The 23104-nt window shown below is 41.6% G+C and overlaps 1 protein-coding gene across 1 annotated transcript in view, besides 1 other annotated feature; it reads right to left on the minus strand.

Moving 5' to 3' along the window:
• The window catches only part of NBAS (NBAS subunit of NRZ tethering complex), a 782426-nt gene that overhangs the window by 105725 nt on the left and 653597 nt on the right, over positions 1-23104 (minus strand). The gene's annotated exons all lie outside the window — the stretch shown is intronic.
• Positions 19366-19415: a silencer, noted in NCBI's record as "silent region_11184". NCBI's record gives its function as "represses an Ori minimal core promoter by ATAC-STARR-seq in GM12878 lymphoblastoid cells {active_cell/tissue: GM12878}" and the evidence as "EXISTENCE:reporter gene assay evidence [ECO:0000049][PMID:35858748]".

The raw sequence follows: 23104 nt of genomic DNA on the forward strand, positions 1-23104 counted from the left end.
TAGCACTGAGAATACTGTGGTAAGCAACACAGCCCAGTGCTCTCCATCAGGGAGCTGACATTCCAATGAGAGGAGGCATACAGTACGAAAACAAATAAACTCAAATACTAACAAGTGCTGTGGAGGAAATAAACAGGTGACATAATGGAAGGTGACTGGAAGATCATTTTCAGGAATGTAATCGAGGAAGCTCTCTCAGAAGAGATGCCTTTGAGCTGAATGGTGACAGAATCCAGTGATATGAAAACCAAGGTAAAGAGAGTTCAGACAGATGAATCAGTAAGTACAAAGGCACTGAGGTAAGAGGAGGAAAGAAGCCCTTGGTAGACAGACAATGTGAGACAAAGGGAGAGAGAACACACAAGGCCAGAGAAGAGGCTGAGTCCACACTGTATAGGGCCTTGAAGACCAGGCCCAGGATTTGAGATTTTTATTCCAAGTTCAATGAGCAGTCATGAAAGACTCTTAAAGATGGAAATAACACATTCTGATTTATGTAGGTAGATGTTACTCTTACTACTATGTAGAGAATGGATTTGGGGTGATGACAAGCATGGAAGCTCCAGAAAATTAGTTGTTTAGGGAAGAGATAATGGTAGCTCGGACTAGAGTATTGAGAGTAGAGATGGAGAGAAATGGGTGAGTTTGAGATATATATTTTAAAAGGCTGATAGCAAATGCAGAATGAGAGAAGGGAGCGAATCAAGGATTACACCAACACCTGTGTTTTTGGATTGAGTAATAAGGTGGATAATATTATGTTTTCCTGAGATACAGAATACTAGAAGAGGTGGAAGTATGAATGAGGGGGAGGCAGCATCAACACTCCATTCTGATGCCCACTGATGTCCACAGCAGTATGTCTACAGATGTCTAAACAGCAGTAGGATTTACGAGTCCGGAGTTGAGTATATATGTGAGGAGTAGAGATACACATTTGAGATTGATCCACATGCGGATGGAATTTAAAGTCCACGGAGTGACAAAGTCCCCTAGAGAGAGATTTTCAATAGGGAAGAAACAATGCCTAAGACTCAGTCCTCGAGTGTTCTTCCATTTGAAGCCAGGGAGAAGAGAAGCATGCAAAGAATCAGAGAAGCAGAGGCCTACGAGGTAGTAGGGCAAGGATTCATAGAGGAGCCAGCAAGAACGTATATCAGGTAAGGAGATGACAATGTTTTGGAATATCACTACAAAGTTAAAGAGAATGAGAACAAAGGTGCGCCTGTTAGATTTGACATGTGGTAATCCTAAAAAAACAGTTTTACCGAAGTGGTGGGAACAAAAGCCAGATTGGCACGGAATAAAGGGTAAATGGGAGGCAAAGAAATAAAGAGAACGAGCAACTTCCTTTGAGAAGTTTGCTATGTAGAAAAGCAAGAAATGGGGCCATAGCTGGAGAGGGTGGCAGATCAAGTAACCCAGCCCAGATCAGATTCCTACAATACAAAGCAAGTCCTCCCAGTTTTGCTAATATCACACGCTTGGCTCTCATTGCCCTCAAGATAAGCTCAGTCTCCATAGGCAGGCAGGTAAGGACCGCACAGCCCTGACCTCCATAATTCCCTAATTCCTGCCTCTCTTTCTGTCCTTGCCATCCCCAAGCCCACCATTTACTCCATACCCATACCATAATAGTCCTCATTCTCCTATCCTTTCATTTTCTTTCAAATCTCTATGCTGTCCTACATGCTTTTCTTTTTGCCAGAAATGTGTTTCCCTTCCTAATTCTTCAGTAATTGAGGTTCAGTTCAAATCATCTCCTGCGTGAAGCCTTCCAACAAACCTGCAGTTCCTTCCCTCATCTGCCTTGCATATCTCTCTATCAGAGCCTTTAAAATGATCTGTGGGTGTTTCTGTTCATCGGCTATGCATTTCCTGAAGGCAGGGATGGTCATTTCCCCATCTCTATAAATTGTACCTAGTATAGGCCTTATAGCCCATAGGTATATGTGAGATGAAGAAATGCACCTGCAGATGTTATCAAAACAACTTGAGGCAATAGTTTCAGGTCACCTCTATCATACCTTGAGCCAGTGTCTACATTGACGTATCCAAACTCTATTACCATTCTTTTTCCTTCCCATCTTCCTCCGAGGGAAATGCCTAAGGTGAATAGGTCTGTTAAACAAAAAATGAAGTGGTGATGAGCGCTCAGTAGAATCCCAGTATTGGGTAAATGCATATCAACAATTTTTAATTTCTCAAGCCTGAGGGCCATTCTCCTGTTTCACACAAGCTAGGATCATCATCAGATCAATACTTCCTGCAAAATTGCATAGAGTTCTACAAAATGTAAAAGAGTTGAGGATAGGACCCTTGTTTTATGTGAAGTAAAATCCAGGCCGATAAACATGACCCCACTGGAAATTTAACCTTCTTAAATTGATTGACAGAAAAAAGAATTTGTCATAGCAGGCTTACTTAGAAACCCCATAAACTTGCATAATTCATATTGAACTGACATGCTTTTTTAAACGATAGAGGTGGCCAGGCATGCTGGCTCACGCCTGTAATCCCAGCATTTTGAGAGGCCAAGGCGGATGGATCACTTGAAGTCAGGAGTTCGAGACCAGCCTGGCCAACATGGTGCAATCCCATCTCTACTAAAACTACAAAAATTATTCGGGCATGGTGGCACATGCCTGTAATCTCAGCTACTCGAGAGGCTGAGGCAGGAGAATTGCTTGAACCAGGAGGTGGAGGTTGCAGTGATCTGAGATCGCGCCACCGCACTCCAGCCTGAGTGACAAAGTGAGACTCCTCAAAAAAAAAAAAAAAAGATAGAGGCTCTAGAATGTCCTTTGCTTCTGAAGACAGTGTGTGAGGAGAAGCCTATGAGAAATACGAGGCAGGGAGGGCTCCAATGCAGAGGACCAGGAGTAGCCTGTCCTTTGCCGTATCACAGCTGCAACATCCACCCACTGGGGGACTGAGAACCTTGCCGTCTTCCCTCTGCCTCATTCCCAACACCTACTTGATCACTAAGTCTCATCTGTTTTAGGTTCACATCTCTAGAATATATCACTTCCTCTCCACGCCCCTCCCCACAAGTCTAAGCCCCTGCTAGTCCCTGTCTAGGCTACTGCACAGCCCCCGGTTCCTCATGCCATCTTCACAGATCTTCATTGCTTGCCTTTGCCAATAAATATCAAAAACCAAACTTCTTATCTGCTATTAAAGCCTCCCACAGTCTGGCCAGCTTTACTGATGGCTATTTTTTAATTGAATAATGTATGACTGAAAGGTATTAAATTAACCATTTCTATCTCAGAACACTCTCTCTTTACATGTCACCTAGTTTTCTCTGGCAGAACTGAAGTGAGAGCAACAACCCATGAAAGCAACATCATGAAGATTTGTACATAAGGTGGTTGATTCTGGGGGTGGGGGCTGAGCTCCCCAAGACAAGTGATCTTTTCAGGATGGTTAATGTATAAGTAGAGAAAGAGTCTGAAACAGGAGTGACTGAGAAGAACGTTTTATCCCTTTATTTATTTATTTATTTATTTTTTGAAACGGAGTCTCACTCTGTTGCCCAGGCTGGAGTGCAGTGGCACAATCCCAGCTCACGGCAACCTCCGCCTCCTGGGTTCAAGTGGTTATCCTGCCTCAGCTTCCTGAGTAGCTTGGATTACAGGTGTGTGCCACCACACCCGGCTAATTTTTGTATTTTTAGTAGAGACAAGGTTTCATCATGTTGGCCAGGCTGCTCTTGAACTCCAGACCTCAAGTGATCCACCTGCTTTGGCCTCCCAAAGTGCTGGGATTACAGGCGTGAGCCACCATGCCTGGCCCTGAGCCACGGCACCCGGCCCCCCCTTTTTTTTTTATTGACCATAGAAAATCAGACCCATCAAATCTCATTCTCTATGATTTCTCTATATCCATCAAAACTATTGACCATTCTCCCCTTCTTTTTTGGGTTTAAGTTGAAGAAAATAAGTATTATACTATTTTTTTAATATCAACACTGTCATAAATGTGTTAACTATAATTTAATAATGTATAATTTAATATTTCTTTATGCAGAAAGGGGTCCATGAAGTTCAAAGCTTCTAGAGCCCATGAAAGTCATAACATAACCCTGCTTCCATTCACTACGATGTTTTATTCTTAAGGTCTAAGTCAGATAGATGCAGCTGGCTGTCAGCTCCAAAGAGGAAGATGAAGATGTGAGTGAGAAAGCCAGTTTTAAGGTCAGATGTCAGAAAAAGTGAGAAAGATTTGGAAGCAGAGTAGAGGTCAGTTGAAATGAGTATCTCCGTAGAGCACGAATCACATGAGCCAGCAGAACCTTGCACTTTGCTGAATGTTCCCACACTTCACTTCCCGCGGGCCTGTGCCTGGGCTGTGTCCTCTGTTCGGAACTCCCTTTTTGACCTTTATTACTACTTGTTCCAATCTCACCTACTTCACTAAGGTCCATCACATCTCTCTACCAAAGCAGGTATTTTCTTATCCTTCTAAATAGAGACACATTTGCCACTCTTTCAGTCCCTAAGACATTTGTGTGTCCTTCTCATGGCTCCACTTGATAATGTGTTTTGATGGTGATTTATTTAAGCTTGAGTATCTGGTTAAGAACAGCAGCATCCTGTTTTGTATCTGTGCAGTCTCTGCCTGTTGCTTTGCACACTGTTGCTGCTCAACAAATGTCTGCTTCATTTATCACTTAGACTGACGTAATGCCATCAAGAAAACTACAGGATTTGCTCATGTTTTCCATAAATGTTCTAAATGAAAATATTTTTCTAAACCAACTGACTCCACACTTCTGTGAGCACAAAAACTCAAACTGAAGGTCTCCTAATCCAAGGTGGATATCATATGGAAGTATAAGAATCAAAAGACTTCCCTGCCACCAAAAGGAGTCCGCATAGCTGGACCCCCAGAACAGATTACTGCGATTTTCTAAAATCCAAAAAAGAGATCCCGACTCTCCACATTCCTACCATACAGGGAGTTTTGAGGAACAGATGCATTGGCCTGGCATAAAAAGCCTTCCAAGATTCTATTTCCAAGCTTGTTAGAAAAGGGATAGGGAAATACACATGAGATTAGAAGTGCAGGTCTTCCAATGGCTAGATGTAGGAATTTGACTATGGTATATTGCCCTTCTGAGGTTCCTACTCTATAAAATGGAGAGGATGAAAATTAACCAACGGGACAGGCTTTAAGAAAAACACAGGCCTGGAGTCACCTGGACAAAGTAGATGATCAATGAATTTACAAGTCATTTCACTGGGAAACACATATAATCACATACACATATTCATTGGACTAATATTTTTAAACTGTAAAATGGCAACCTAATATGTGCATGTGGATGTATGTGTGGGATTTTATATTCAAAATACATTAAAATCATTGTAAAATATGTGCTTTGAAGTAATTAACTACTTTAGCAATTTGTTTGAAACATACTAGTGTGCAAATTCCTAATATATTATTCTAAAAAATTACAGACTTTTTTCCCTTAGAAGACCTACTGTTTGTAAATGCTAATACCTATCTTTCCTGAATCATTTCCCTTCCACTGGGGTGACTATGAAAAGAAAAATTTATCCTTTATTCGTAGTTCCTAAGAATTTTGTTCTCTGCAGCTCAAAGATTCATTTTACAAAAGAGATAATGAAAGAGTTTTAGCTAAGGAAGTGGAATGTATTATGATGTAAGATAGAAATTTCCATATCTTCTACACAGCAAAAAACTCTATCTCAATCCCAGTAAATGGCCTTACAAAAAAAATATAATGCTAGCATATGGCATATTTCACAATTTTTAACTTTATTTAGCAATACTAAGCACTCTTTACTGATAAGGGTATTATCTATGTATTATCTATAAGAATTTGAAAATTATTTTGCAGAAAGTTGTTAAGTTAAAACTTACTAATGGAGGCCAGGCACAGTGGCTCATGCCTGTAATCCCAGCATTTTGAGAGGCCGAGGTGCGGGGGTCACTTGAAGTCAGGAGTTTGAGACCAGCCTGGCCAACATCGCGAAATCCTGTATCTACTAAAAATACAAAAATTAGCCGGGCATGGTGGCGAGTGCCTGTAATCTCAGCTACTCAGGAGACTGAGGCAGAAGAATCACTTGAACCCAGGAGGCTGAGGTTGCAGTGAGCTGAGATCGGATCGCACCATTGCACTCCAGCCTGGGGAACAAGAGCAAAACTCTGTCTCAAAACAAACAAACAAACAAACAAACAACAACAAAAAAAAACATGTTCTCTTAGAATAGCAGGCACTAAAATCAAAGTGTAAATTGCCTTAGAATTCAGCTTCAAAAATACCCATTGGTAAATAAAAAGATTATTTAGTAGCAAATCTTTTTTAGAATAAAAGGATTAGAGTTACTAATTTCTATAAAAATTACCACCTTCTTTCTTGCCAAGTTAGTCCCAGAGAGATTTGAAGCTAAAGAGAAAAAATGATTCTGAAATAGCTATATTAGCGTAAATATGTTATGCCACATCTAAATGTTTTGTCAATTTTTCATGGTCACTGGAAGAAAAAGCAGAAAAAACAGTACCAGCCGGTGGGCAGACCACAGGGCTGGGCTACGGGACAGGAGTCCCTGTTCTCAACACAGACAAACCCAATTAGGAAAATATTTCCCACTAAGTTGATATGACATAAATAAAATGTAGAGATAAAAATTAGACTGTTGAGATTAAAGTGCTTTAAAATGTTTGATTTTTTTTTTGCTAAAATTAAAAGGAATTAAATTAACATGAAGCGGATTTTAATTTCTAATATTTCCCTACACATATAGGTACCTCATTCTGACACAGAGAAGCTTGTCAATAAGTGTGTGTGAGGCAAATGGATCACGTCAGTTCATAGGAAGGGATCACTTACTTATTTATTATAATCACTCAGTGCATCCATTTTTCCAGACACCTTACCTACATAATTTTACTCAATCCTCAGAACTACCTGGGAAATCTATACTGTCATTCCCATTTAAAAAATAAGGAAATTGAGCATGACGGAGAGCAAATGGAGTAGTCCAAACATTCACACCTGGTAAATAGCAAAACTATTAATATAAACAAGGAATTCCCAGGCCCATGCGTTTCCCCTCAATCAGTGAGCAGCTGTGATTCTTGTCCAGAATCCAGTTCTCATGGAAGGCCTGGGACACTACAGCGCATGCCTTCAACCAAGAGAATCTGGAGCTTTACTTACTTTACCTTCACCACATTCTACAATTTTCTAAAATTCTCAGGGTGACAAGAGGTAGCTGTGGTGTTATAGGAAAAGCACTGGGCTTGTCCTCAAGTAACATAGATCAAATCCCAGCACTGACAATTATTTCCTGGCCAAAACCACTTACCCATCATCTCATTAAACCTCAGTTTCCTCTTTTATAACATGCGACTGACTTTTCCTTCCACTGTTATTATGAGGCAAGCTAATCAGTCAGTATGTGCTCTAATTCCCTGGCATGGCACACAGAACCCTGGAGACACCCAATCTAAATATTTTTAAAGAAAATGAATGCAGAATTGGTAGTCATTCCTCAGGCATAAGCCAATGCTCTGTTGTAAGTAGTCCTCCTTTCCCACAGTAAAGCCTTCAGCAAACACAATGGCCACAGAGAGATATAGAATAAATAGGAAAAAGAGAAAGGCAGACAGGAGGCAGCAATGATCAATAAACAAGCAAGCAAACCTCAAGGTCACATCAAGAAAATGTTGCAACTTGAGACCAAAGCATAAACCAAATTGGGTCCCCACACCTGTGGCACAATGGGCTCACAGGGCGACATAGATCAAGACCACGTAGGACACCTGAGTTCTCTTCCCTGTCCGACAACTAATTTTCTGCATACTTTTTAAATCGCTTCTCTTCCAAGGAAATCCATTTCCTCTTCTATGCAATGATGTGTTTATATTATACCGACTCTATGGCTGCTATTTAATTTAACTATTCTTCTAGTCCTAGTTAACTTAGTCGTATTTAGGAATTTCTGCCTAGCTTTAACAAAGGTCTTTTCAGCATCGATTGATTAAATCAATATGCTCTTTTTTTTTTTCTTCTCTTTCATTTTGTAGACATAATAACTAACGTATTATGTTTATGGATTTTTCTGGTATCAAATCGTCTTTGTATTTCTGGGATAAACCTGTTTGTCATAGTGTATTACTTTTTGAATACTCTGTTTGGATTCGATTTTTATCATCTTATTTAGACTTGTAGCAAGTTTATTCCTAACATTAGTCTCCTATTTCCTTTTATTTTATTTTATTCTTTGTCCTTCCTTACAGGATTAGACCACATTTGCTTAAGTGAATCAAAGAAATCTTTCTCTAAAGCCTAGAATAATTTACTTAATATTAGACTCACCTGTTCTCTAATGGTTAGCTAAAACTCAGCTGTGAAACCATTGCTTCATAATGTTTTTAAATATTTATTGATTATTAATCTTCTGTTTTTTACAGTAGTTGGATTCTTCAGCTTTTCTACTTGTTCTTGAGTCAGTTTTGGTCATTTACATTTTGTAAGAAAATAAAGTTGCATGTTTTCAGGCAATGAAGTTGCATGTACATGTGACTGTCACCTTTTCATTTCTAATTACAAACATTTTTATTCCCTCTTTTCCTTCATCAGATTTTTGAAGACCATGATCTAATTTTTTTGTCTTTTCAAGAAAACTGCTTTTGGATTTATTTGTCCTTTCTGCTTATTGTTTTGCTTTTTATATTATTTGTTTCAACTTCTATCTTTAATATTTTCTTCTTCCTAGTTTTTGTTACATTTTCTAATTCTTTTTCTAATTTTTAAGATGGATTTCTTTCTTTTTGTCTTTCTTCTATAAAACAAATATGTTTGCAGCTATAAATTTTCCTTTGAAGTCACTCTTAACTGTATCTCAATTTTGGCAGGAAGTACATGCTGTTTTTCTCCATCTGTACTCACTAGACTCATTCTTACCTTTTTCTGTTCTACTCTGTGCTCCTGGAACCCTTCCTTCATGGACTGTATCACCTCGGTTCTCTTGCTGAATAACTTTCAGTGGATTTTGGCCAATGGAAGGCAGCCGTGGGAAATCAGAGAACAGGAGAAAAGAGTTCTGCCCTACTCCCCACCCCAGTCCATCCTAGCAGTTTTTGCAGTGTTAATTGCTACATTTCTTCCAGGTACCATCTCATCCAGTGCACACTGTATTCCTCTAGCATGATTTACTCACCTTGTCCCTTCAAGCTTAGGGGTGACAACAGCTTCCCATTGTTGCCAGTCTTTGCAATGTTCCTTAATTCTGCCCAAACCTTTGAAAATAATCACTTTAGTAAAATCTATTCTGTTGAACCATCTGAATAGAGTTCTGCTTCCTGCTGGGATTGATACAAAATATTTATTGTGTGTAAATGGCTTATTATTTCAAAATTGATTTCTTCTTTTATCCAGTATCAAGTCTTACTTAGGAGTATATTTCTTAATTACCAAAAGTTAAGACTCTATCAGTGTTATTTTTTGTTACCTTTAGACTTACAGAGACTCAAAAATACATAGCTTTCATACATACCTTCTCAGAAAGCTACTAAAGAATGTGCTCCATCAAGATGAGAGAGTAAACCAAGAAAGAATATGTGAGATCCAGAAAACAGGGGATCCAACAGGCAGGAGGCAGAGGCTTCCCGATGATTGGAAAGGAAGTTTTCAGATGCCAGTGATGCAATCCAGAATGGAGCAGGAGTACAGGGGGGCACCAAGAGGATGTTTTTAATAACAAAATATAGAAACCTGGAACTGATATCTTATCTGATATGTTTGACTGCATTGACAGAAGATTTATAGGGTATTTTGAAGAGTTTGAAAAAATATGAGTGCTAGATACCATGATAGCCATGCAAATGAAAGAAATAAGTAATCATTAACTAACAGAAATGTAAAATATATATATAAATATAAAATATAATATGACTCCTCTGTGAGCAATGTTTATATAATCATAGTAATATAAACACTGAATATTGATTTAACCAAAAACTGGAATACTGCCATATTGAAGGGAAGGAGGAGAGAATGAATAAGCGTTGAGAGGGGTCACAAGGACTCTAAGTCCTTAATTCCACAGCAGAACATCAATGCACAAAATATAAATTGATAAATCAAAAACTGGCATAATAGGCCGGGCACGGTGGCTCATGCCTGTAATCCCAGCACTTTGGGAGGCTGAGGTGGGCGGATCACGAGGTCAAGAGATCGAGACCATACTGGCTAACATGGTGAAACTCCGTCTCTACCAAAAAATACAAAAATTAGTTGGGCGTGGTGAAGCGCCTATGGTCCCAGGTACTCGGGAGGCTGAGGCAGGAGAATCACTTGAATCCGGAAGGCAAAGGTTGCAGTGAGCTGAGATCACGTCACTGCACTCCAGCCTGGTGACAGAGCGAGACTCCAACTCAAAAACAAAAACAAAAAGGCATAATAACCATATTATTTGGGAATTAGGAGGTAAATACCAGAAGCTCACAAAACTGAAAGAAGTTTATTCTAGGAAGCAGGATCCAGGTGTATAAAGAGAGGGAAGGATCCAGGTGTGTAGAAGAGAGGGACAGATAACTGTTGTGTTGTTGTTGTGGTTGTGTAATAAGTCTTATTATTCTATTTGACTTTTTAAACTATGTGAATATATTACTTTGACAAGAAGGTAAATATTTACTTATAAAAATCCTAGAAGAAAACCTAGAAAAAAAACTCTTCTAGACATTGGACGAGTCAAAGAATTTATGATTAAGACCTCAAAAGCAAATGCAACGAAAACAAAAATAGACAAATGAGACTTAAACTAAAAAGCTTCTGCACAGGCAGGGCACTGTGGCTCACGCCTGTAATCCCAGCACTTTGGGAGGAAAAGGCGGGTGGATCACAAGGTCAGGAGATGGAGACCATCCTGGCTAACACGGTGAAACCCCATCTCCACTAAAAATACAAAAAAATTAGCCGGGTGTGGTAGCGGGCGCCTGTAGTCCCAGCTACTTGGGGAGGCTGAGGCAGGAGAATGGCGTGAACCCGGGAGGTGGAGCTTGCAGTGAGCTGAGATCGCGCCACCGCACTCCAGCCTGGGTGACAGAGCGAGACTCCGTCTCAAAAAAAAAAAAAGCTTCTGCAAAGAAAAAGAAATAATCAACAGACAACCTACAGAATGGGTACGCTTGGATACACGAGGGTAATAATAAACACTGAGGACATCAAAAGGGGAGAGGGAAGATGACGGGTAAGGACTGAAGAATTACCTACTTGGTACAATATTAACTATTCAGGTGATGGGCACACTAGAAGCCCAAACCTCACCATGACACAATATATCTATGAAACAAACCTGCACGTGTTACCTCCTGAGACTATAAAGGGGAAAAAAAAACGAAGATAAATGTTTAAAATACAGAATAAGAAAACTAAGAATCTCTGCTTTCCTTTGTCAGGCAACCATGAACAAAACAACAAAATTAATCCGGGAGAAGAGAGCCCATAACCACGTAGTACAAATTACCTGAATCGGCCCCTATTTCTCAATCTCAGTAGTCCACTGGCCCAGTTTCCAGGGAGGCTCTTTAACACAAGCAGGAAAGGCAGTAGAGCCTCACTTTGCCCTCAAAATATTAGAGGCCTTTCTTCAGCTCAGCCAATACGCTATGTAATGTATTAATAATATCAATGTTCATTGTATTCCAAATGCCAAACTAGTATGTGTATTAAGCCTTTTTCAAATTTGATAATTGACTGCTTGAAATTTAAGAGCGGTTTTATTCTGTTTCTCACAGCAATTTAATTTTTCCCTTAGTCATTCTCCCTCCTACGCCCCCACACTGAACAAATCTTCCTTCCTCCGTGTTATGGGGGGAATGGCTCCATAGCATAAATCTGGAAGCCGATCCTAAGCGCAAGGAACCAATTAGCTGCTAAGAAACACACTGCAGAGTTCTCTTGCCATTTTTTTTTTCCCTGAGATTTTGTGTTGTAATCATAGCCCTGCAAAACCAGGAGCACTGACTGTACATCAGTACTGCAGCTGCTACCGCCTTCTTTCTGGACTTTGAGGGCCTCGTTAAGGGTACAGAAGACAGGGAGCCCAGGCCAGTGAGTGAAGAAGTCTGCAGGCCATTGCAAAGAAGAAGCTGGTATTTAACAGCTGGGGAACAAATCACCGTGAACAACTATTGTTCATTTACCATAATGTCTCTGTTGATAATGTATAAGCATTTTAATGTAAATATTCTACTTTTTGTTAAAAATTTGCATAACATTTGATCACATAACCTGAATGCAAAAGAAGAGCCTCTAGTTCAGAGATTCGCAAGTCCTAGTTGGAGGCCCCTACTAGAGCTGCATGGAAATATCTCAGGAGCTTCTGTGGCTGTCAGGGGAGGGGAGCAGTAATTCGTGAGCCCCTAAAAGCCTGAGCCGTTCCTCTTTTTTTTTTTTTCCATCATTTTACACATGGGAAAAACGAAGGCCTCCAGGAAGAAGGAAGAAATTTGCCCAGTATCACACAGCGAGCAGGTGGCAAAGCTGGAACCAAACACAGGTCTCCTGATTCCTGCTTCAGTATTTTCACAGCTGTCTTTTCCTGCCTTTCTTATTTTTGGTGCTTTTCTCCTTATCAAAACTAAAAATGTATTCCTTTTTAGAGCGCTATGGAGATGTTACTTCTAGGCATTTCCCCTAAGGAGAGAAGTTTGATAAATTATTTAAATATCCACTTTTCTCTGCTAAAATGTATACTGTGTTTTTCTCTAGGTAAAATGTGAAAACACTTATTTTACCAAGCCATTTATATGCACCATTTTTCTTCTCAAAAGCTTCCCCTCTCCCATATCCATTGCTTTGTAAACCCCAAGGACGTTATAATGAAATATTGATTGTCCTCTCTCTTGTCTTCACCCTGGTCTAATGCCCCTATAGCTTCAGAATAATTTTGGTTGAGGAAGTACTAATTCAGAAATGTGTTTCTACATTTGGCTTTTTTTTTTTTTTCCAAAGACAGCACACAATATTGGCCAGGGAGTGTGCACCAGCATCTCAGCACATCAGCTCCTCTTTGCAGCATCTCCTGTTGAGACATCACATCTCATCAGCAGCAAGGATGTTGAATTTCTGGCCTCAGAAGGGATCTTTCCATTCTCAGGAGATGACAAGTTTATTAAGAAGGCGGTGGTTAACAATGAGACTGTGGTCTTTGGAAGTGAGGAGGAACTGTCTGGGCCTCCATTATAAGAGGGACACGGTTGGCTCCTGGGAAGACTGGGGGTTATTTGCCCTCATAGCACATCCTAAGGCTTGATGTTGGACACTTTCCTGGCTGGGCCAGAGTGAGGTGGGGAGCAATGCTGAGGAGGGTCCCAGTGTTTGTTCAAAATAGTAGGAGTTTTGGTCTGCTGAAATTTGTTCCAGGTTTAGAATCAGAAGAACCTAGGCTTAAAGGCCTTTCCATGGCCTACAGACTCCGCTAACTTGGACAATTTAATTTGCCTTTGCTTATATTTCTTATAAACTAGAGATAAATAAGGACTGCCTTTTTATTGATTTTGTGAGGATTTAATCAGCTAATTCACATTAAATGCTAACATGTGCTTGCAGATCCTTAGGAAATGTAAAGCCTCTCTCTTCCTTGAAAAGGTGAAAAATAATGTTGGTGTTTCTAAGGAGACACAGGGTAGCTTTTCCTAGTAAGACTTGAGAGGTGCTAGGGAAATCAATTTCCCATGGCTAGTCATTATGAAATGGACCCATATGTGAAGTTATACCCATTAAAAACAACAAATGGCAGAAAGGAGAGAGAAAGAGAGGGTTTCAGACTAGAAGAGCTATTCTGTGTTTCTAAGCCGCATAGTAAGTCACTTGATATGGTTTGGCTCTCTGTCCCCACCCAAATCTCATCTTGAATTATACTCTCATAATTCCCACATGTTGTGGGAGGGACCCAGTGGGAGATAACTGAATCCTGGGGGTGGTTTCCCCCACACTGTTTTCTTGGTAGTGAATAAGTCTCACAAGATCTGATGGTTTTATCAGGGGTTTCTGCTTTTATGTCTTCCTCATTCTCTCTTTGCCTGCTGCCATCCATATAAGACCGAACTTGTTCCTCCTTGTCTTCCACCATGATTATGAGGCTTCCCCAGCCATGTGGAACTGTAAGTTCAATTAAATCTCTTTCCTTTCTAAACTGTCCAGTCTCAGGTATGTCTTTATCAGCAGTGTAAAAATGAACCTGGACCTTACTATTGTCTCTATGGTTCTGTAGCTTGAGTTCTAGTTGGAACTATTGTGTCTACGTTTCTGTAGTTTGGGAACTTTTATGGGCCTCACTTGGGGTCTCTCATGTGGTTTCAGTCATATGGTGGCTAAATGGGTCTCATCTGGAAGCTCCACCTGGAAACTAGGGTGGCCAGGCATTTCCTCCCCCAGTGGTCTCTCCAGCAGGGTGGCTGGACTTCTTAGGTGGCAGCTCTGTGTTCCCAAAAAGCAGGAGATCCAAGAGGAAGGAAGCAGAAGCTTCCAGGTTTTCTTAATGCCTGGACTCAAAGCCCAAGAACATTACTTCCTCCACATTCTGCAGTAAAGCAGTCCCAGGCCCAGCCCAGACAGAAGAGGTGGGGACAGAAAAGCTGCCCAGAGAGGCCTCAGAGACCTGTGCCCACAGCAGTCCAGATGGCTGAAGTCCATGAGTAATACTAGCCTGTGTTTTGCACACAGAACCTTTTCACTAAATAAATGTCAAATGACTAAATGAACACATAAATAATTTTCCTTAGTCCAGATCATTTTTTAGTTTCTGGTTAAATAAAATGAAGAAGGGTTAAATTTGTGGCTGGCTCATCTGCAGCAGCTGCCATTTAGAATGTTGTTAAGCTCAGCACAGGCTCTTCAGATAGATTATTTTCCATACCCATTTAACTAGCAACTGTGTTGATAGGCCATTCATGAGCTTGCCTTAAAAACATTGCTGATTTTACAGTCTAATATTTTAAAAGACCATATGACTTGATGTGATCATAACCAATTTAACTTGGAACTGGTTGTGTGGTTGTTGTTTTCAAAACACTTCTGCCCATTCTTTCAGGGTCCTTTAAAAAACAAGGTCACAACTTTTTTTTTTTTTTTCCCAGCCTCAGGTATCAGGCTCCTGAAATTATTTTTTACCCTGGGAAACGGGCCACCTGGAGCCCATGATTTCAGGAGCCTAAGAAAAGAAACACATCTACAAGTTTGTGGCTCTCTCACCTGCTGACTGCTTTCAGGGAGCAAAGTAATTCATTCCACAAAGTAAAAGTTGGCTTACAAGAAAGAGAGGGTTCATAGAATCTTTACTAAGACATCAGTGATCAGTGACTATTGCTAGATGCTCCAGGAGAGCAGTTATAAAAGGGGAGGGGGAGATAACATTAGAACAAAAGGACATCCAAAAAGTGGTTAGAAAGAATGGAAATGAGAGTTCCGAAGTCGATTTTAAGTCACATGCTTTTTTTTTTTTTTGACTGGTTCTAGCCAATTCTTCAGGAAAGAAAAAGACCTACCCATTTGCTCAGCTGCTTTTCTCTCTCACCATGAGACTCCCTGGCCTAATATTAAACACGCCTTCCATGATCCATTCCACCTTTCTAAGTATTCAGTGCAAGATGCATAAGCATGCTCAACAAATATTTGAAGACAGAAAAAAGGCATGAATGACATATCAATTTTCCCACTAAATGTGCCTGTTTCAGCTGTATTAAAAGGCTTACTCTGTTCCAAGAAGAAAAAAAAAGGAAACTGAGATTTTTACCACTTTTGCCTTTTTTGTACAGGTATTCCTTTCATCTGCTATGTCCTACTTTGTGAAATTTCACCACTGAAATTCTATTCATCCTTTATGGTTTGGTTATGGTTTGGTTATAAATGCCAGGAAACCTTCCCAAATCTCCGCACCTATAAAGAATTCCTTCTCTTCTATATCACCCAATAAGTTCATTACTTCTAAAATAACAACTCCATTATGCCCAGTATTAATTTGACAAACTTTTCTGAATGGCAAGATGGGCACTGGAGCATACAGATCTGAATAAGGTGAAGTCCTATTCTTAAGAGAAGGAGAGAAAGAAATTTTTCAGCAGTCGCACAAGGCATGATAAGTTCAAGAACAAAGTATGCACAGGGCATAGTAACTAGCACAAAGGAAGCAGAAGAACTTCAGGGGAGACACAGCATCAGGAAATATCTGTGAAAGGAGGTGACACTGGATTAAGGAAATAAAAGGAAATCATTCCATACTAACCATCTGCAAAGGCTTGAACCTGAATATCTATGCCAAGTTTGTAATTCCATATGGCTACGGGGGTAGTGGCTGATACTTGAGGTCCACAAGATAGGGACTTGCACTGACAGCCTTGGGGTCTATCTTAAGGACTTGAAATTCCCATGGAGGTGAGGGAAAGTCACTGCCAGGTTTAAGCACAGGCACAGCTCATTTCTTGTCCATCTTTGTAACCCTAGGGTCAACAGCATGGTGCCTGGAAATAACAATAATGTCAGCATATATTGAGTGCTAACTGTGTGCCTGGCACTGTGACAGTCACTTCACATGGATTAGTTAGTAGGTGCTCAATAAAAGTATATTCCATAATCAAATGGAATTGCAGCTCCATTCCAACCAGACTGGGTAAAAATAGAAACTGTCATTATAGCTTTAGCAGAGAGAGTTCAAAAAATTATAAGTTTAAAGGAGTTTAGTAATAAAAAAGAATCAGAATAAAGGAGAAAATTTGATTATTCTTCAGCTAAAGGCCAAACCAGAAAGACTCAGGTAATTTTAAAAAAAAAAATCGGAAGGGTAATTTTTTAAGTGGTAAAAGAGCTAAAGAGGATTTTATAAACACTTTAAGGGATAAAAAGATAAACCACAGAGAAAAATGGATCTTCTAATAAATGACGAGGAAAAGAGAATTAACAATAAATGAGAACAGCTGAAATACTGAACTCATCCTTTGCAAGAAAAATGAGGGGAAATAACTTAGATTCTTAGGAAGTAATAAAAATCTTGCAAAATACTTAATAGGGATAGAAATCTAGTAAGGAAATATTCATTAAACTTAATTCATCATTTTTAAATACACAGCCCACAGCCCTCACAAGTTTCATCTCTACCAGGAATCAGACTAGAGTTAGCTCTCTCCTTCAGTGATGGCTCCTGAAAACATTGACCTTGAAAAAAGACTAAATGTGCTGTGGAAGGACAGTTCCACAAGCAGGAATGGACCCTGGACAATGCCCAAGAAAGCACATGCTGGGAACAGCAGTGACATGCTTGGAAACACCCATGGGATCTGGCTGTCCTCTCGCGATAACAGCCTCCCACCAGAAAATGCACCACTGAGCTTTTATGAGTCACTCAAGCTGTCTTGTGACTACCTCCCAAGCTTCCTGAATTTTCTTCTTTCTTCTGTAAAATGGGAGTGCTTAGTTCGTATAGCAATCATCCCTTTTTCCCTTCCAACTCTCACATTTTCTCTTTCATTTTTTTGAGACAGGGTCTCACTCCGTCACCCAGGCTAGAGTGCAGTGGCATGATCTCAGCTCACTTCAAACTCTGCCTCCCGGGTTCAAGTGATTCTTGTGCGTCAGCCTCCCAAGTAGCTGGGATTACAGGCATGCGCCACCATACTCAGCTAATTTTTGCATTTTTAGTAGAGATGGGGTTTCACCGTGTTGGCCAGGCTGTTCTCCAACTCCTGGCCTCAAGTGATCCACCCTCCTTGGCCTCCCAAAGTGCTTGGATTACAGATTTGCACCACTGCACCTGGCCTAATCCTCACATTTTTATGTCTAATATTTCCTGTAAGAGGAAGTAAGGAGAGAAGGAGAGAGAAAAACAGAGAGATACACACAGAGAGAAGCTCTGTATATGTAGACCCATGTGTAGAATATCTGTGCAAACATTGGAAAATGGCCAGGGAGATGGTCTGAAGCATTGCTTCCTGTCTTAAATGTCAGCCTGGGAATTTTGCTCATTGGCAATGAGACCTATTCCCTGATCAAAATTATAATCATCAACACAAGACTGAAACTTGAGCTTCTGGGAGGTTGGGAAAAGGGGAGGAGTATCGAAAAATGGTAATAAGTTTATAAGGAGGTAATTCAGACTGGAATTGGTAGGTAATTAATCAAATACACAGAATCTCAAAGCCAGAAAGTCTGAGAAGAAGGGGTTCCAACAAAATCCACACAAATAGTTATTATTAGAGCACATTGGCCATTCTGAGGAAAATAAACAAGGTGAGAATGTTCTGTCAGGGAACCAAAGAATAGGCAGTCACATGGGTAAGCCCATGATAAAAGCTAGGCTAAAAGAAGAGAGACAGCAAAGGCACAGTTTGAACCAATGGCAAAGACCCATCCCAGTGAAAGGCAATTTGTGGCAAGAAGCTTTGATGAATGAAAAAAAAAAATGAAAAAATAAGAGAACAAACCAAGACCTTCTACATACAGTGTCTTGGCCTCTCCAGGGTGTCCTAGCGTGTAAGGGCCAACCACAATATTTTGCAACCCATTTTCTAGTGGTGGCCAAGCCTTTTAATGATAATACAAGCAATTCCATCTGCAGAAGATGGTTAAATTCAGTCAGTATTAGCATCTTCTGAATGTCACAGGATCTCTACATGCTACATCCAGACTTTTTTAAATTTGTGAAATAAGCTTTGCAAAAAAAAAAAAAAGAAAGAAACATGTTGAAAATAAAAACCAGAAATTGGTAAAGCCAAATGAAAAATACATATAAAGTATTTTCCAAGAGTGTTGATAACAGCCTTGTGTGTTCAGAAGACACCCCCAGGTGACAAAGTGGACCTGGCCCAGCACTTCAGGAAAAGCTGCTCCCATGTGACTCCCACCACTTTGAAGGAGTACCTGTCATTGGCCTTTCACTGAAATGCATGAAAAGAAAACAATAGGGGGTGGAGGAGAATCTTAAAGCCACATTGGCAGTATCACTATCCCCAGAACCAGCTTCTCACTAGAACTGAAACGAGACACTTTGAGGAAAACTTTCACGTTAGTACAAAAACCACACAACTGTTTTCACAGGAGCAGAATAATGATCAAAATCATGGTTTCAAAGGAATCGGGGAGCAAAAGTCAACACTGGAGCTCAACATTGCCTTTTTACAGCTGAGAAAATCGAAGTTCAGGGGAGAAGCATGCCTGTCCCCCCCATCCCCCTGTCACACCTGATGGGATGTTAGACACAGCAGGGCCTGAGGGTGGGGGGAGGCGTGCCCAGCAAGGCAGAGGGCAATGGAAAGAGGAGACCCAGGAGAAGTGCCGGTTACCACCTGCAGGGGGCGGCATCGAGCGCCCTCCATAGGCTACCCCATTAGGTTGGGCGAGGCGCTCCCTTCTGGACACTCAGAGAAACGGGGGCATTTCTCATTTTGTGTTTTCACATTTTATAATTATCTGTATTTTTCTTTTCCATCTAGACCACCAGCTCTAAGAGGGCAAGGGATGTGTATTAGTCAGAGTTCTACAGAGAAACAGAACTAATAGGATAAATGTACATATGAAAGGGAGTTTATTAGGGAGAACTGGCTCACACGATCACGAGGTGAAGTCCTACCATACGCCATCTGCAAGCTGGGGAAGAAGGAAGCCAGTAATGGCTCAGTCTGAGTCCAGAAACCTCAAAAACAGGAAAGTCGACAGTGCAGCCTTCAGTCTGTGACCCAAGGCCCGAGAGCCCCTGGCAAACCACTGATATAAGTCCAAGAGTCCAAAGGCGGAAGAACCTGGATTGTGATGTCCAAGGGCAGGAAGCATCCAGCACGGGAGAAAGATGGAGGCTGGAAGACTCAGCAAGTCGGCTTATCCCACCTTCTTCCAGTATGACAGGCTGATAGGCTGTGTCACAGTCAGCTGTAACTCAGTATGATAGGCTGTGTCACAGTCAGCTGTGACTCAGTATGATAGGCTGTGTCACAGTCAGCTGTGACTCAGTATGATAGGCTGTGTCACAGTCAGCTGTGACTCAGTATGATAGGCTGTGTCACAGTCAGCTGTATACACTGAACTGAACACCTGCTATTCTGGCAGGCACTGTGCGCAATTTGTGTCTACGTATTTCATCTAATCCTAAAAGTAACTCTAGGCCGGGCGCGGTGGCTCAAGCCTGTAATCCCAGCACTTTGGGAGGCCGAGGCAGGCGGATCACAAGGTCAGGAGATCGAGACCATCCTGGCTAACACGGTGAAACGCTGTCTCTACTAAAAATACAAAAAATTAGCCAGGCGCAGTGGCGGGCGCCTGTAGTCCCAGCTAATTGGGAGGCTGAGGCAGGAGAATGGTGTGAACCCGGGAAGCGGAGCTTGCAGTGAGCCGGTCGCACCACCGCACTCCAGCCTGGGCGACAGAGTGAGACTCCGTCTCAAAAAAAAAGAAGTAACTCTGAACAGTAGGTGTTTATGCTCTGTTCCAGGCGCACTGGCAGCAGATTGGATGGTGCCCACCCACATTGAAGGTGGGTATTCCTCTCCAGTTCACAGACTCAAATGTCCATCTCCTCTGGCAACATCTTCACAGACACACCCAGAAATACTTTACCAGCCATCTAGACATCTTTCAATCCAATCAAGTTGACATCTAATATTAACCATCACTGTGCGCAACCTATTAAATGGAGTAACTCTAGTGAGTGCTCAGTAAATGTTTGTTGAATAAACAAATGGATGAACGAACTAACTGAAGACTCCAAAAGTAAATTGTTGAAGAACCCAGACATGGAACCATAAAACCAGAGCAGAGAACCACATGCTGCTCAGTGCCTCCTGTGCCCAGCTGTCCCGCTCGGTGGCTGCGGGAGACTTGGGCCAACAACCCAACTCTCTCTGGTGCCCCTGCCTTGCTCTCTGTGGACTCCTCAGGGAATAAGTAACCAAATAGCCTGGCCAACAGAGAAATAAACAAGATCTGTCAAATGCCGATGACCTATTTATCTGCCTCCTTCATGTGTTTTGAACTGAATGCCATGTGAGAAAAGTGACCTGGTTGAAGTGTTTGTAATCTGGGAAGATCAAAATAAGATTCATCCTAATGAAAGCATTGCAGGCCACACGTGACCCATGTGTGTTCAGGGAGGTAAGGATAGAGGGTGGTTGCTGAATGGGTGGGTTGCCTCTTCTTTACAATGCCTTCATTATGTAAATCCCATCGAGGCTCAAAGGCAACTTCCCCAAGGAGGCTTGTACAATGCCCCATTCAAAAACACCTTCTATCTCTAAACTCTCAGCGCACTTTCTTTGTCTCAATGTGATAGGCTGTGTCACAGTCAGCTGCATACACTGATGAGTACGCTTGTCTGTACAATATTATCAAATCGGGAGCTTCCCAAGGGCAAGGAATATTCCTAACACATCACTTTATTCCCACTCCGTAATTCAATTTCTGGAACACAGTAGGCACTCCAGCAGTGGTAAGCAGCAGCAGCAGCAGCAGCAGTAGTAGTAGTATTAGTAGTAGTAGTAGTAGCAACAGTACTAATAGTAGCAGCGGCAGCAGCAGCCACCGCCACAGCAGTACCTACCCTTAATTGAACACCTGGTATTCTGGCAGGCACTGTGCACAATTTGTGTCTACGTGTTTCATCTAATCCTAGAAGTAACTCTAAACAGTAGGTGCTTATTATCTCTATTTTGCAGGCTTCTCCACTTACAGGTGAGAAAAAGAAAGATAAGCAAGATCAAATAGCCTGCTCGTAAGTGGCAGAGCCAGGATTCACACTCACATCTCATTGACCCCTCAGTCTGTTCTCTTTCTAATTGAATGCACTGGCTCAGCTACTGAAGGCACGGAAAGGCTGCCTCTGCCTGTGATGTGAACCCGAATTCAAAGGCACACGCTGTTCCTGGGGACCCACCTTTACTCGCTATTGTTCCTACCCAGGCCGCCTTGCTCTGCCCTAGAGAGTTGTGGAATTCTGGAGTCCTGAAGCTCTGAGGGATAACTCGACAGGGGCAGAAGCCCTGGGGGTGGCATGGGCTGCCCAATGTCCCACCAGAATCTGGGGCAGAACAAGACCCAATGGCCTGGCTCTCAGGGCTCAGTGCTTTCTCCATTATTCTCCGATTTTTCTGATGTTGCGATTCCAAGCTCAGTCCTCAACGTGGAGAAAACCCCTAATAAAAGCACAAAATAATTTTTTTCTGCCAAATCTGAGAAGACAAAGTCGAGGGTGCCCATTATTTAATATTGACGACAAGAGACACAGCCTAAGTTTGGCGTATTTCCTCTATTCCAGTCTGCTTCCTGTCCTCTCTCCCCCAAACCTACTGTCAAATGACTTCGAGTTGAATCCCTCAAGCAGAGGCTATGCTTCTTACACCTCCTGAGAGGCAGGTGTCCATGCCTGTCGCCCACTTCCTGGGAATGAAATTAAAATGTCAGCCTTGTACCCAATGCATTTGCTTCCTGCGTTTCTTCACCACTATCTTTGGCCCACTAGTGCCCTGGCTGCTGTGGGGTAGAAAGGATTTACTCCCTCTACTGGCCTCTAGTGAGAGAGTGGAGTCTCTAGTTGGGCCAGCCTCCTGCAATTGCAGTCCCCAGCTGTCACCCTGGTAATTAGTTCATCCTGCTCCACCACAGAGGCTTACGTAATAAAATGGTGTCCTCTGTTCGGAAGATGGGAGCTCTGGCAACGCACTTACTCAAGCACTTCACTGCGTCTGAAGGAAGCACATCTTCACATAAACACAAACCCAGGGCAAAACAGCACAGGGCTTCTTTCTACACACATTGTGCAACACCAGAGAGAACACAGCATCTGATTTCCTCTTTGGTACATCACTCCACTGTTGTGAGAAGTCAATGAGGCTAAATAGCAAAATACATATGAAGCAGCGAGCACCATCCAGAGACAAACAGCAGATGTTCAACGGCAAGCAGTTCTTTTCCTACCTTCCAAGTTTCCTTCTAGGCAAGGCTTGAATGCAATGACTTCTGGCAACTTCTTCCCGAGTGCCTCCCTCCACCGTGGCCAAAATTACGAAGATATTTCCTTGACTATTTCTTTTGACAATAATCACATTCTGGCTTTCAGCCTTATCATTTATGTATCTTTAA

Source organism: Homo sapiens, chromosome 2, assembly GCF_000001405.40.
Source record: "Homo sapiens chromosome 2, GRCh38.p14 Primary Assembly".
In the NCBI taxonomy this organism is placed as follows: Eukaryota; Metazoa; Chordata; class Mammalia; order Primates; family Hominidae; genus Homo; species Homo sapiens.